Genomic DNA, 13,712 nt, shown 5'->3' with positions numbered 1-13,712 from the left:
AAAGCCAAACACCGCATATTCTCACTCCTAGGTGGGAATTGAACAATGAGATCACATGGACACAGGGAGGGGAATATCACACTCTGGGGACTGTTGTGGGGTGGGGGGAGGGGGGAGGGATAGCAACGGGAGATATACCTAATGCTAGATGATGAGTTAGTGGGTGCAGCGCACCAGCATGGCACATGTATACATATGTAACTAACCTGCACAATGTGCACATGTACCCTAAAACTTAAAGTATAATAAAAAAATAAAAAATAAAAATAAAAAATAAAAAAAAGAGTCAGAAAAAAAAGAAACAAAACAATAAAGCGTAAACACACAGCATTAGAAATGAGAACTGAGAAATAGTCACATATACAGAGGAAAGTCAAATGAATCATGAATAAAAGCTTTGTTCACCCCTAGATAAAAATGTATGCAGATTGGATACAATGAGTGTTAACCTAAGAAAGTGTAAATAAACCATTCTCCCTTACAAAGGACAAAACATCTAACAGATCAAATACTACAGGAAAATTTGAAAAATTTGTCATAAAATTACCTCCCCCCAAATAAATAAAATTATTTATAACAAATGAAAAAATACATAATCTCACTCCAAATTAAAACAGCGATCATTAAGATTAAAATGAAATACAATTTCCAATTATCAGAAGGCAAAGATTAAACTATTGGCTAATTTAGTGTGGAAGGCCTTCTGATACTCTGCTGTAGTGTATAAAAGTGGTAAAACCTCTTTAGAGTGCAACATGGCAATAATTATAATTTTAAATGCTCATTTTCTTGTACTCCAAAATTATGCTTCTAGTAAATTATCCTGCATATATAACCCCTAAAGTGTAAGAAAATAGGTATGAAGATGTTAAATAAAACATTGTATGTAACCAAAAAGAAATCATTAAAATTCCCATGATTAAGGAAATAATTTAACAAATTAAGATCCATCCAAACAAACAATGGAATATTACAAGAATACTGTCAATATTGACTAGAAGCAAGTTGGAGAAGATGCTGGCAAGATTATGTTTGTTGATCTGGGTGCCGGTGACATGGGTATGTTCAGTTTGTTAATGTTCATCATGCTGTACACTTGTGTGCACTTTTCTATACATCGTATCTCCCGTCATATTAAAGTTGACCCTTGAACAATAAGGATTCCAACAGCACAAGTCCACTTATATGTGGATTTTTTTCAACCCATCGCATATATCCACAGGATGCAAAATCAGGGCACACAGAGTGCCCTCTTTTTGTGGGTTACCCAGGGCTGACAGAAGGACTTGAGCATGCATGGATTTTGGTATGTAGGGGTCCTGAAACCAATCCCAAGAGATGACTGTATGTTGCAGGAATCAGCCATTTCTTAAAAGGTCAGACAGGAAATACTTCAGGCTTGTGGGACGTACAGTCTCTGTTGTAACACTCAACCCTGTCATAGTAGTGCAAAAGCAGCCATAGAAAACAGTAAATAAATGGATGTGGCTGTGTTCCAGTAAAGCTTTATTTAGAAAAACAGGTGGTAGATCTGTGGCCATAATTTGACAACTCCTTTTATACAGTATAGAGAATATATATAGTCTACATCATATAATCACCTAAAAAAATTTTCAAAAAGCAGAATGTGCTTCCATATTTGTTCATAAAGATTTTTAAAAGATTCTAGGTCAGAACAATGCTATCTGCTGTACTCTTGTTTCTGTTCAAAAAGAGAGGATTGATATATAAACTACGTACTTGTGTGCTTATATGTGCACAACATGCAAGGAACATGTTTGGGTATTGACAAGGCTCCACTCCAAGTGGTCACCCTTGAGTGGGATTAGGCACTGAGCTTGGAGAGAGACTAAATTTTCACAATGTATGTGCAGGAATTATTTTCATATATAATTATCTTAAGTCTTAGGATCATTGATTTTATAATAGTTTGATCAGTTTGATCATATATATAGATTTATCTACCCAATATTTAATTTCCTAAATATGATCTTTTTCTCATCAGAACCAAACAATTTAGGATTATAGCATTTTTGCATGTATGTGTATGTAAATTCATCCGTCATGCAATGGGAAACAAAAACTCTTCAAAACCAGGTTTCTAATAGCAATTTGTTTCATAAACTTATTTTCCCCTTTATTTATTACATTAAAATTTTATTATCTCAAAGAAAACTAATACCATTTTTTTAAATTAATGTTTGGGGTTTCCATGGAAAAGTGTGTGAATAAAGTAAAAAAAGAAGAAAATTTTAAAGGGGATACAGTGTCCATTAACAGCTATGTTTTAGTAAAGCCACAAAGATGAATGTTTTATTTACTTCAAAGTTATCAGGATAAATCCCATTATTAAAAAATCAGGACTATCCCTTTCATCATTGACATATAATAAACTTCAATCATACATTTCTGTAATCACCACAGTATAGAAAATCCTTGCACCATAAGTAGACCCTTCAGCATCAGAGAGAGGAGAGACCTCAGGTCAATTAAGGGAGGGGTCTGGGCAGAGAGCAGGTGCAGAAAATATACTTAAATATAAGGTCCATGAGTTTAACATGTGAAAAATAAGAGGATTGAAACCTAAAAATACTTGGGGGCCAATTTGTGTGTGCGTGTGTGTGTGTTAAATGGTTAGTTGAAGGCTTAATGGAAGATGCAGATATAAAATACACCTACATAGGGATAAGAATAGTTCAGACAAAGGTTAATGTTGGGAACACATGCCTGGGTGACAGCAGTATTTAGAACCAAGGATTCACAATAACAAACAAGGCCATATGTTCTTCTTTATAAAAGTAAATGTCTCTTTTCTTAAATATTTAAAAAAGAATGCTCTCACAGCATTCTTTAAGTTTCCCAGGGATTCACTGAAAATTCTAGATCATTAGAGCATAGGAATAGATACAATTTAAAAAAAATAAAGATGTTAGTGAAGTTGCCATCTATTCTACAGGCTTTCCCCTTTTTTCAATCTGTTTCATGGGCTTTTCATGTCATAAAATGCTTGTGGGACTCCAAGGTGTTGTAGTTCTTTACTAGTCTCTGTGGGAGGAAATTAAATATATAGTTATAAACTGCTGAGATTTAATTGAAGATACCCACAAAACATTTTCTCCAGTGAACCTAATCTTTTTATCTTTAACTTAATGAGAACACATCCTGTCTGAACTCTCAAGGGGGAATAGACTCATGTGCATGAACTACTGATTCTGGCAGAATTATAGAAGTCAGGAATATCTGCAAGACGTTAATGGTCTTTGGACTTATTGTTCCACCATCTGTTCTCTGCATTAAAGGGAGATCTTGGATTTCAGCCTAGACTCACTGAAGTGTTCCCCTAGATACTAAGCCAACTTAATATGTTAGGTCACAAAAGTTGTGTGTTTCTAATCAACCAGCTCTTAGATCCCCCAATCATTGCTAAACCTATCGGTGTATCTATGATCTGATAAAGCTTCTAAATTTCTCTTTTCTAGTGTTAGGGACATTGGATGGGAGGAGAGGAAATCTCAAATACCTTTGACATTTTTCAGTTTGTGTGGAATAATAAACGGTTAAATTTAATAGTTTTCCATCTCTTTCCATGGCCAGTTATCTTCTAAAATGCCCCCAAGATGGAAAGTTACCCTATATTATCAGGGTAGATTCTTCTAACTTTCCATTATTGCCCAGATCTCTCTTAGACTAAGAACACTTAAAGTAATAAGCCTCTGTTGAGCACTTCCTAACACTACCTGCTCTGCAAGGATTATATTTAACACCAGCTGCAGATATATGAAATATGTGCCATGATTGTCCCTTGCTTCTCAGATGAAATGAGCTGAGCAGCACAGAGACGTGAGCTAAATGCACCCAGCCAGTCAGCAGCAGAGATGGAGTTTGAAACCTGGCAGCTGGACTCCAGCACTGCACTGTCTCTCTGTCCTAACTAGGTCTAGGAGTGCTCAATATTATCAAGTATTGACAAATACATATGGATGGAATCTGGTTAAGCTTTGCCTTGTTACTCATTGTAGGAAAGGGCTCTATTTTTTCTTAAGCGTTATTTAAATGATCCAATCAATTGCACACAAATGGTGTCAGACAGGCATATTTTGCAATTTTAACTTGCCCTTGCAATTTCGTTAACAGTCTGAATTTACCAGGCAAACCCTTTCTTAATTATTATAACAGCAATTTATTGATTACCTACTATGTCCCCCTCTTTCCTACATTGTCCCTAACCACAAGATATTTATACTCCTTTAACAAATATGGGAACAAGGATTGGGTCACTGGAATTTTCCCTGCAGCAACTTTAACAGAAACCACCTTTGCTATTTTTTTAAATTGAAAAAACCCTGACCCATCTTCAGAAAATATCCATCTATCCTGCTGGAATTGATTCATGTGTTTACTGAAATAACAAATTGTTCTGCTACTGCATGACAAAAGGAATTCCTGTTTCTGGTGCTTTAAAGCCCACCAGATATTTAATACTATTGTACCATTCTTCTAATTTAAACAGTTCATTACTGCTCTCCCAGGTTCCACTTGGGCTCATTTTGATTGAAAACTGCAAGAGTTCACAGTTCAAAAGGAAACTTTTGGCTCCTTATTTTGAAAGTCTTTGCTCATAGCATCAGCCAAATTCTTTATAAATACTTGCTCATTTCTCACAAAAGAATTTTTCATTTGACACATGCACAGTTTAATGTATTAGGCATGGTATACTATGACATGTTTAAATTTTACGTGGAAACTACTCATTTGGAATTATATTCTACAATGCATTGGTCTGCTCCCACCAATCAGTATTCATGAAGTTGGAAGGAAGTATAAACAGTAAATTATGGTTTATAATGAAATCAATCACTCCATGTATTAACACCCAAGGCTATGGAACCCTGACAATTATATGCACTGATAGCTTCACATATGCATGGAGAACTGAAATGGAATATCCCTCTGTCATTCCAGGGATGAACCCCAGCATGTAACCTAAAGGAGGTAATTTTTGTAGGTGCTCTCCCCTATAGAAATTTACCTTTCCTCACTACCACTTACCCTGAGCATGAGGCACTAAGGTTTAGGAGTTGGATCAACGATCATCTATGTGCCTTTTAAGGGCAATTGAATCTGAAACTCGGAGCTCAGGTCCGATGATATTCTGAAATTCCTTTCTGCTAAGGACTGTTATATTTTTGAAGCTACTCACTTGACAAGGAGAAAGTGTATCTCAAACTTGGAGAAAGGAAAAAGTGAAAACAAAGGGGAAGAGAGGAGGAAGGATAAAACCAAAGAAGGGAAGGAAATTAAGATGAAGGTGGGAGTGGAGGGAGAAGAAAATCAATGACCGTCACTTACATGTAATAAACATATGTTCATTTCAGGTTCATAATAGGAAATATTTTAGCATTTCTTATCTATTTCTTTTCAACATGTTAGTACTACTTTTCCAGGGGTTAACTAAAAATAAATCTGGTTTGAGACTCTGTTGAAGCAAAACAAAATAAAGCCTAACAAGGAAGTTCAGTTCAGATTTGGGCAATTTGTGTACCTTAGTCCCAACGTTACTTTTTTTTTTTTGGCTTGTTAATTTAAAGGCCTGGTGTCATCATGCCTGCTCATGCACACATGCTACCATACATGACAAGGACAAAGCCTTGTATTTGTTGACTGATTGTCCCCTGTTCTGAAAAAGAATATCCCAGGGGCCTTTTGTTGCATTTCTGATATTCTCACTGAGAAGATTTAAAAACCAGGCCACTTATGCAACCACCAGAAGATTCCACTATTTCAGATACAGTTAAACATTATTGCTTAAAGGCTTTATGGCCTATATACCATTAGCAAGCCTGTGGAGATTCCATTTAACATATAAAAAGGTTGACAATACTGCATAATAAATGGCATACCATTATTACTTTCTTTGGTGTTTATTTTAATGGAATAAGCCGTGATGAATCCTTTAAGTTCTCATGCACAATTCCACAGCATTTCCATCATGATTTGCAAGGAAATAATGCACAACATTTTTACAGTTCTGCCACCTTGCAAAGGAGCCAGAGGAGAAGCATTTTAATGGGATAATAGTTTTTTGGTCTAGCCTGACAGCACAGCCACTGCTGTATTTCACCCTCCATGTGAAGGCTCCCATCTTCTGTGTGGTCTCCATGACATTACATTTTATTGGCTTAATCCCTCTTCTAATTCCCTTTACTCAAAGAAAGCCTTCTTCAATGCTATGTTCCCTCTCAGTATTGAGCAGTCTTTCACTCCAACCACTCAGCCTATATTAAGCTCCTACTCTGTAAATTGCTGCTTATAGGTGGCATTTACAAAGAAGAAGAGAGAGTTGCTTGTTTCAAAAAGCTTCTCGTGGCCAGGCGCGGTGGCTCATGCCTGTAATCCCAGTACGTTGGGAGACCGAGGCGGGCGGATCACCTGAGGTCAGGAGTTTGAGACCAGCCTAGCTAACTTGGTGAAGCCCTGTCTCTACTAAAAATACAAAAATTAGCCAGGCGTGGTGGTGGGCACCTGTAATCCCAGCTACTCAGGAGGTTGAGGCAGGAGAATCGCTTGAACCTGGGAGGCGGAGGTTGCAGGGAGGCAGTGAGCTGAGATCATGCCATTGCACCCCAGCCTGGGTGACAAGTGAAACTCCGTCTCAAAAACAAAAACAAAAACAAAACAAAAAACCTTATCGTGCAGCAGAAGGTGAAGGACCTGTGCTGACTGAGCACCTACTATGGACCTGTAGTGCCAGGAACATAACGGGAGCTCAGTCATGTGCACGCTCTCCTGCCCTGCATTAATGTTTGCAATCCTTGCAAAGGCTACTACATTATGCAGATATCATCATCATCCTTTATTAAATGAAGAAATTGGGATTTAGAGTCAATAAAATCCATTGTCATGATAAGATAGCTAGTGAGCGCCAGAGTTGATATTTGAACCTAGTCCACATACTACACTACCATGCTTCCCTACTGGGTTAGAGAAAATAATTCATAATACACATACCATGCATCACACTTACACAAAATTCAGGAGGTGTATGATTAATTGATAAATATCTTCATAAAGAGTGATCTGTGGTGAGTTAGCTTGAGAAGACAAGTTGAACATGAAAATATATAGAGAATTTGATTATGCTTAAGTTTTATTGGCCATGTTTTACACCAGAAATAGTCTATCTTCTAAATATTTTCTTAGAAGTGCTTCACTTTTTCAGACCATGAAATGAAATTTGCCAGAATGTGTGGCTAAAATAAGTAAAATAAAAATCCAAATATTACACCCTTCACAAGGCAAGAGAATTTTCAGGTTAGAAATTTAAGACACTTTTGTCCCAAAACCTTTATTTAAGATGAGAACATTGAAGTCCAGAGAGTGAAAAAGTTTTGCTTATCTTTAGCTAAAGACAAAATAGAGAGGAGAAGCCAGATCTCTAATTTCTGGACCAACTTCTTCACTATATTATAATGAATATTTCCCAGTTTCTTAACTAACTGACCAGTTATTTGTAAAACAGTCTTAGAAAGCAAAATGATAATAAGTCCAGTGTCACTGCAGGTGATGAATTAATCATTCATCTTCTGCAAAAAATTGAGCAGGCTTCTCTGATGCAGCCACATCTTTCCTTTGCAATTCCTCATCTGTGTCTCCCTGGTCAGGTACGGTGGTACTTCATTGGTTCATGCTCCCCCTAAGAATGGGATAATGAATGACACTAGACAGATACAACTGGTTCATTTCAACAATGGACATTTATTAAACATCCACTGTGTGTCAGGCTCAACCCTGGCTTCTGAGAAATCAGCATTACCTAATCAGGAAAGAGATGTGAAAATAGGGAACTACCATAATTTGATGATTGCAATACTTTTATTTCATTAATTCAGTAATAATTTGTTGAATCAAGCTTGGTGCTCAATCATGAAAAAAGCAGATGTAGTTCCAGCCTACTGAAGGAGGAAAATGTTAATCAGATCATCAAAAAATAAGTACAAAATTGCAACTAGGACAAATGATAGGAAAGAGATGTGCAGAGTGTCACAAAAGTAAACTACAGAAGGAGTATATCAAAGACAAAAAAAGTCAGGGAAGGCATTGCAAAAGAAGTGATTCCCACTTAGAAAAAAAGTGTGTATGTGTGAATGCATACATCATGGTGTGCTATAACTTACACTAAAAATTTAAAGTTGGTAAGAAAAATGTCACAAGAAAAAAATGAGAGTAATGATTAAAGGAAAAAGCAAAGGGGTGGAGAGGAAAAGATCAGAGAAAGTCAGGGGTGAGTTTGTGCATATCACACCTGCCTGGAGCCCATGACTCAGAGTAAAGGTGAGTCCAACCAGATGGACTGTACCCATGGACATATTTTGAAATAAAGCTATAACTTTTACAAATGTTCTACCTTTGCTCAATTTACTAAAACTTACTTTAGGGTCTTATAATCATTTACTATAGGAATGAATTGTGTATCCTATAAAACCTCCAATCCAAGATCAAGGCACTGTCGAGTTCAGTGTCTGCTGAGGATCCTGGTCTCTCCATCCAAGATGGCGCCTTGTTACTTCATCCTCTGGAGGGGACAAAGGCTGTGTCCTCACATGGAGGAAGAGATGGAAGGGCAAAAAAAAAGCTAAGATAGTTCCATCCAGCACTATTATAAAACACTAATCCAAGATTTGTGGATACTCAAGTCCCTTATATAAAATGATACAGTATTTGCATATAACCTAAGTAGATCCTCCCACATACTTCAAATCATCTCTAGATTACTAGAGATTACATACCTATAAACCTAATTATAGAAATTACAGATTATAGAGATTTTAGATTATATACTTAATATAATGCCAACACATTGCTGCATTTGAGTGGGTTCATTGTAGTACTCAGGGCATGGCAAATTCAAGTTTTACTTTTTGGAACTTTGTGGAATTGTTTTTCTGAATATTTTCAATCCATGCTTGGTTGAATCCAGGAGGGCAGAGCCCTCACCAGAGGGTTTGACTGTACATGTTTACTCTCTGTTCTTTGGCTAGTTGATAAGCTCTACTAAGGGCAAGAAGTTCTGCCATCTGAGTTGATTTTGCCTCAGGTAGAGAGCTATATTCCAGAGGACTGCTTAATTTGGTGATAGCACATTCTGCTTGATAACCTCCACTTCCAGCTCTGAAGCATGACTCACCAACCAATAATCCAAGGTCAGGGTTCTCAGTAGGAGTCTCCAATAAATCAGAGTGAGACACAGGATGTTCACTAAATGAGGTAAAACAATCATGAGGTTTCCCCTTCCTCTGGTAAAGGCAAGTGAAAGGCAAGTATTGCAGCAGTGAATGGCAATATGAATCACAAGAGAAATTTAGATCTTTTCAGTCTTTAAGACCTAGGAAAAATATTACTTTTTTAAATCTCTAGAACATAACTATCCAGGTCTGTGCTGTCTTCCACAAGTAAAGGCAAAAAGATATTGGCTGCCCTGGTCTAGAGGCACACTGCAGAAATATGGAGCAAAGATACACTACAGTGAAGCAAGAGGCTTCAGATGGAATTAACGACATTATTGGTATTTGGGTTAGATGCCACCACATCGAAGAATAACAATGTTGTTGGTGGCCTTGGTGTCTTAGACAAGTCAATATTCTCATCCACTTGGTATCTTTCCTGGCAGAACAAGCGTATTGTAGTAGCTAGTCCAGGATACATGAAGGTCTTTGGATAAAAGGCTTTTAAGTATAGATTTGAGTCCTTCTTTTGCTTTTGGCTTCAAGGGATATTGTGGAAATAATTGCAACAGTTTGGTAAGATCTATCTGAACTTTAGTAGGTTCTGCTCCAATTATTTTTCCTATTTCAGTGGAATGTTTAGCCCATAGGATGTCAAGTATAGTCTCAAGATCTTTATTTGCAGTGTGCATCAAACACAATAGAGAAGGCAAAAGTACATCTAGATCAGAAATCCCCCAATTATAAGCAAAGGAGTTCTCTAAAGCCTCAAGTAACAGTCCCTCGAGTGTGCATATCACATGACAATTCCATTTGCAAAGTAAGTCTCTTCCTATTAAATTTGCAGGGGTTGGTATCACAGAGCAGGAAGGAATGCTTTTCAGTCAAAAGTCTAAGTGTTACCCCTAAGAGCTGACAGATAGAAAAAAGCTATAGTTTATTTGAAATATCTAACACCTGTGTGGTATATTTACTCTGAGGAAGATGTTGAGCAAAGGTGGCAGGGTTTAATGTAGAAAGAGTAGGATCATATCTACCAGGAATAGAGGAGGTTGACCATCTGTATTTATTGTTAATTCACCTTGAATGTTTAAGGGTAAGGCAAGATAGTGAGTTCTTTCCTTCCTTGATGCATGCTCACTGATCTGAATTGAAGGATTTTTCTTTGTCTTGCTTTTTCTTTGCATGACCAGACTATCTGTTTTCCAGTGTCCCTTCAATAAGTGTCCTCATCAGTAGATAGTTGATTAGAAAGTGGGCCACTTAGCTGGTTGATTTACAGAATATAAGTTTATTTTTGTTCTTATTTCATATTTATTCTAAAACTCTTTCAAAATGCTCTCCAAGGTGTTGTGGTTCAAGAGAAGAGGCTATTCCTCGTTCTAATTTCTGGTTTTGAATTAGGTCTCTAATTTCAAATTTAATTCCAAGGACAAAATGAAGTGAAACGGCCACTGTTACATCAGTGCCATCTTTAACTCCTGAATGTTGTCAGAAGGTGTTTTCTAATCTGTCCTAAAAATCTTCTATAGTTGCATCTTTTCTGTTTTCATGATTTAATTATAACCCAAACCATTTTTACTAGAAATAGTTCAGATATGGCTTTTAGAAGATGTTAACCTACTGTTCTGGCTTTGTTTTTGGGCGGGGGGGTCGGTGGCAGGGGAGAGCCTTGAGTTTATTACAGAAAAAGGCATTCTGTAGTCCTTTTCCAGGTCGTTATAATTAACTTTTGCCATCTAGGCTTTAGCATCTGAGGTTTGACCAATATCTATACAACTTGGGGCCAGGCTCACACCTGTAATGCCAGTGCTTTGGGGAGCCAAAGTGGGAGCATCGCTTGAGGCCAGAAGTTCAAGACCAGCATGGACAACATAGCAAGACCTCACCTTTACAAAATTTAAAAAAAAAAAAATAGCCAGGCATTGTGGCACACACCTGTAGTACCCAGCTACTTTGGATGCTGAGGCAGGAGAATTGTTTGAGCCGAGGAGTTCAAGACTGCAGTGAGCTATAATCATGCTACTGCACTCCAGCCTGGGTGACAGAGTAAGACCTTCTCTCATTTAAAAAAAAAAAAAAAAAAAAATTAAGGAGCAGGTTATTTAATTGCCATGTATTTGCGTGGTTTTGAAGGTCTCTTCTGGAGTTTATTTCCAGTTTCATTCCACTGTGGTCTGAGAGATGGCTTGATATAATTTCAATTTTCTTAAATTTATTGAGGCTTATTTTGTGGCCTATCATATGGTCTATCTTGGAGAAAGTTCCACGTGCTGTTGAATAAAAAGTGTATTCTGTGCTTGTTGGATGGAATGTTCTTCATATATCTGGTAAGTCCATTTGTTCCAGGGTATAGTTTAAGTCCATTATTTCTTTGTTGACTTTCTCTCTTGATGACCTGTCTAGTGGTGTCAGTGGAGTATTGAAGTCCCCCACTATTATTGTGTTGCTGTCTATCTCATTTCTTAGGTCTAGTAGTAATTGTTTTATAAATTTGGGAGCTCCAGTGTTAGGTACATATATGTTTAGGTTTGTGATATTTTCCTGTTGGACAAGGCTTTTTATCATTATATAATGTCCCTCTTTGTCTTTTTTAACTGCTATTGCTTTAAAGTTCGTTTTGTCTGATATAACAGCTACCCTTGCTTGCTTTTGGTGTCCATTTGCATAAAATGTCTTTTTTCACCCTTTTACCTTAAGTTTATGTAAGTCCTTATGTATTAGATGAGTCTCTTGAAGGCAGCAGATAGTTGTTCTGTGAATTCTTATCCATTCTTCAATTCTGTATATTTTAAGTGGGGCATTTAGGCCATTTACATTCAATGTTAGTATTGAGATGTGAGATACCATTCTATTCATCATGCTATTTGTTGCCTGTATACCTTGGTTTTTTGTTTTTTGTTTTTCTTTTTTAAATTGTATTTTTGTTTTATAGGTCCTGTGAGGTTTATGCTTTAAATATGTTCTGTTTTGATGTGTTTCTAGGATTCGTTTCAAGATTTAGAGCACCTTTTAGCAGTTCTTGTAGTGGTGGCTTGGTAGTGGCAAATTCTCTCAGCATTTGTTTGTCTGAAAAAGACTGTATCTTTCCTTCATATATGAAGCTTAGTTTTGCTGGATACAAAATTCTTGTCTGATAATTGTTGTTTGAGGAGGCTGCGGATAGGGCAGCTCAGACAGCACATGGTCCTACAAAGTACCTCTCTGATGTGACTCGTGCTCTGGGAGGGAGCACCCACTGGGGAAGAATCTGAACCTTCAAGGACTCAGACTAGAAAACTTATAGAGACCCCAAAGCCTCAGCCATAACCTAAACTGAAGTAGTTCTTGGCCTTTTTTTGGGACTCAGGACCGTTTGATAATCTGATAAACTCTAGTGACTCTATCCTCAGGAAAATATGCATAGGCACACATACACATATAATTTTATGTACAATTTCTCATGGCTTACTCTGTCTCCACCCCCAAATTCCCCCAAACCTCTCCATGGATTCCCACATTAGCACTTACAGTTCCACTGTCAGAATCCAAAGCTTGCTGGAGTCATGAGGACGAGTGTCAGTCTAAACCCATGGAAGCCTTAGAAGATATCATCTATCTTGCTTTATCCTAAGGAGCAATAGGCTGAGTAGAGGTATTCCTTGGTGCCTCCAAAAGTGCCCAGCCTGCCAATTAAACATTTTCTGCAATCCTGGATATTGACTAACCAAGTCACTAACCTAAGAGCTGCTGGCCATTGTGCTTCTCCAAGCCCTGGTTGAGAATTTTAACCAGCAGCACAACTTACCCCATTTCTACCAGTCTGGCTTTTGAATTCTTCTTTTAAATGACTCATGCTCATTTCTTCCTTTTTCAAATTAAAGAATTTAGGACAGCAATAAAAAAAGAGGTTAATATAGGGTGGGCAATGCAGCTTATAGGCGCTCAATATAATTCTGATTTCTTCTACCAGTAGTTGCTGGTCTAATTTGTATTTAGAGAAATCCTTAATTCAGCTCAGGTCCAAGGCTTAAATTCTATAGTTACCTGCATACCTGGCTCATGGGAGAGGTGGAAGTTTGGGTCTTAGGCGAAAGGGAGGGAGTCTGAACAGGGGTATAATAAGGGAGGAGTTGATAGGGGTGAGTAAGGAGAGACATCAAAAAGATAAGGGGAATGAAGGAGAGTTTTGTAGAGGGAAGCAACTGAAAGACAGGATGGAAAAGGATTTAGCAGGCAAATGAGTCTAGTTTGTTGTTGCTTAATTTAGTCAAATTGCTCATTAGCTTTAGCCAATGACTCTTAGTGAAGCAATTATTAAATCAGAATTTCATTTGGAGGCCTTGCATACCAATTAAAAAATGCTGCCCATTGGGCCTGAGAAAACTTATTTCCTTTTTTTTCTAAAGCACTTCTCAAATGAACAATTTTGCTCTAGTCAAGTCTTCCCCAGAGTGGCCACTGAAAATCAAATCATCCTTGATGAAGTTATGTCGTTTAGAGATAGGCACA

General features: G+C 37.4%; 1 long non-coding RNA gene across 3 annotated transcripts in view; it reads right to left on the bottom strand.

Moving 5' to 3' along the window:
- The window catches only part of LOC105373592 (uncharacterized), a 530,486-nt gene that overhangs the window by 167,576 nt on the left and 349,198 nt on the right, over window positions 1–13,712 (bottom strand). Inside the window, exon 5 of one of the 3 annotated variants that reach the window (XR_923281.3) lies at window positions 1,490–7,693. The exons of the other annotated variants lie outside the window; for them this stretch is intronic. This is a non-coding gene — a long non-coding RNA (uncharacterized LOC105373592). Of the gene's footprint in view, window positions 1–1,489; window positions 7,694–13,712 lie in introns of those variants that run through there. 3 annotated transcript variants of the gene reach the window in all.

The sequence above is a fragment of the Homo sapiens genome, chromosome 2, assembly GCF_000001405.40.
Source record: "Homo sapiens chromosome 2, GRCh38.p14 Primary Assembly".
NCBI classification, from domain to species: domain Eukaryota; kingdom Metazoa; phylum Chordata; class Mammalia; order Primates; family Hominidae; genus Homo; species Homo sapiens.
This window is presented reverse-complemented; position numbering and strand designations above follow the sequence as displayed.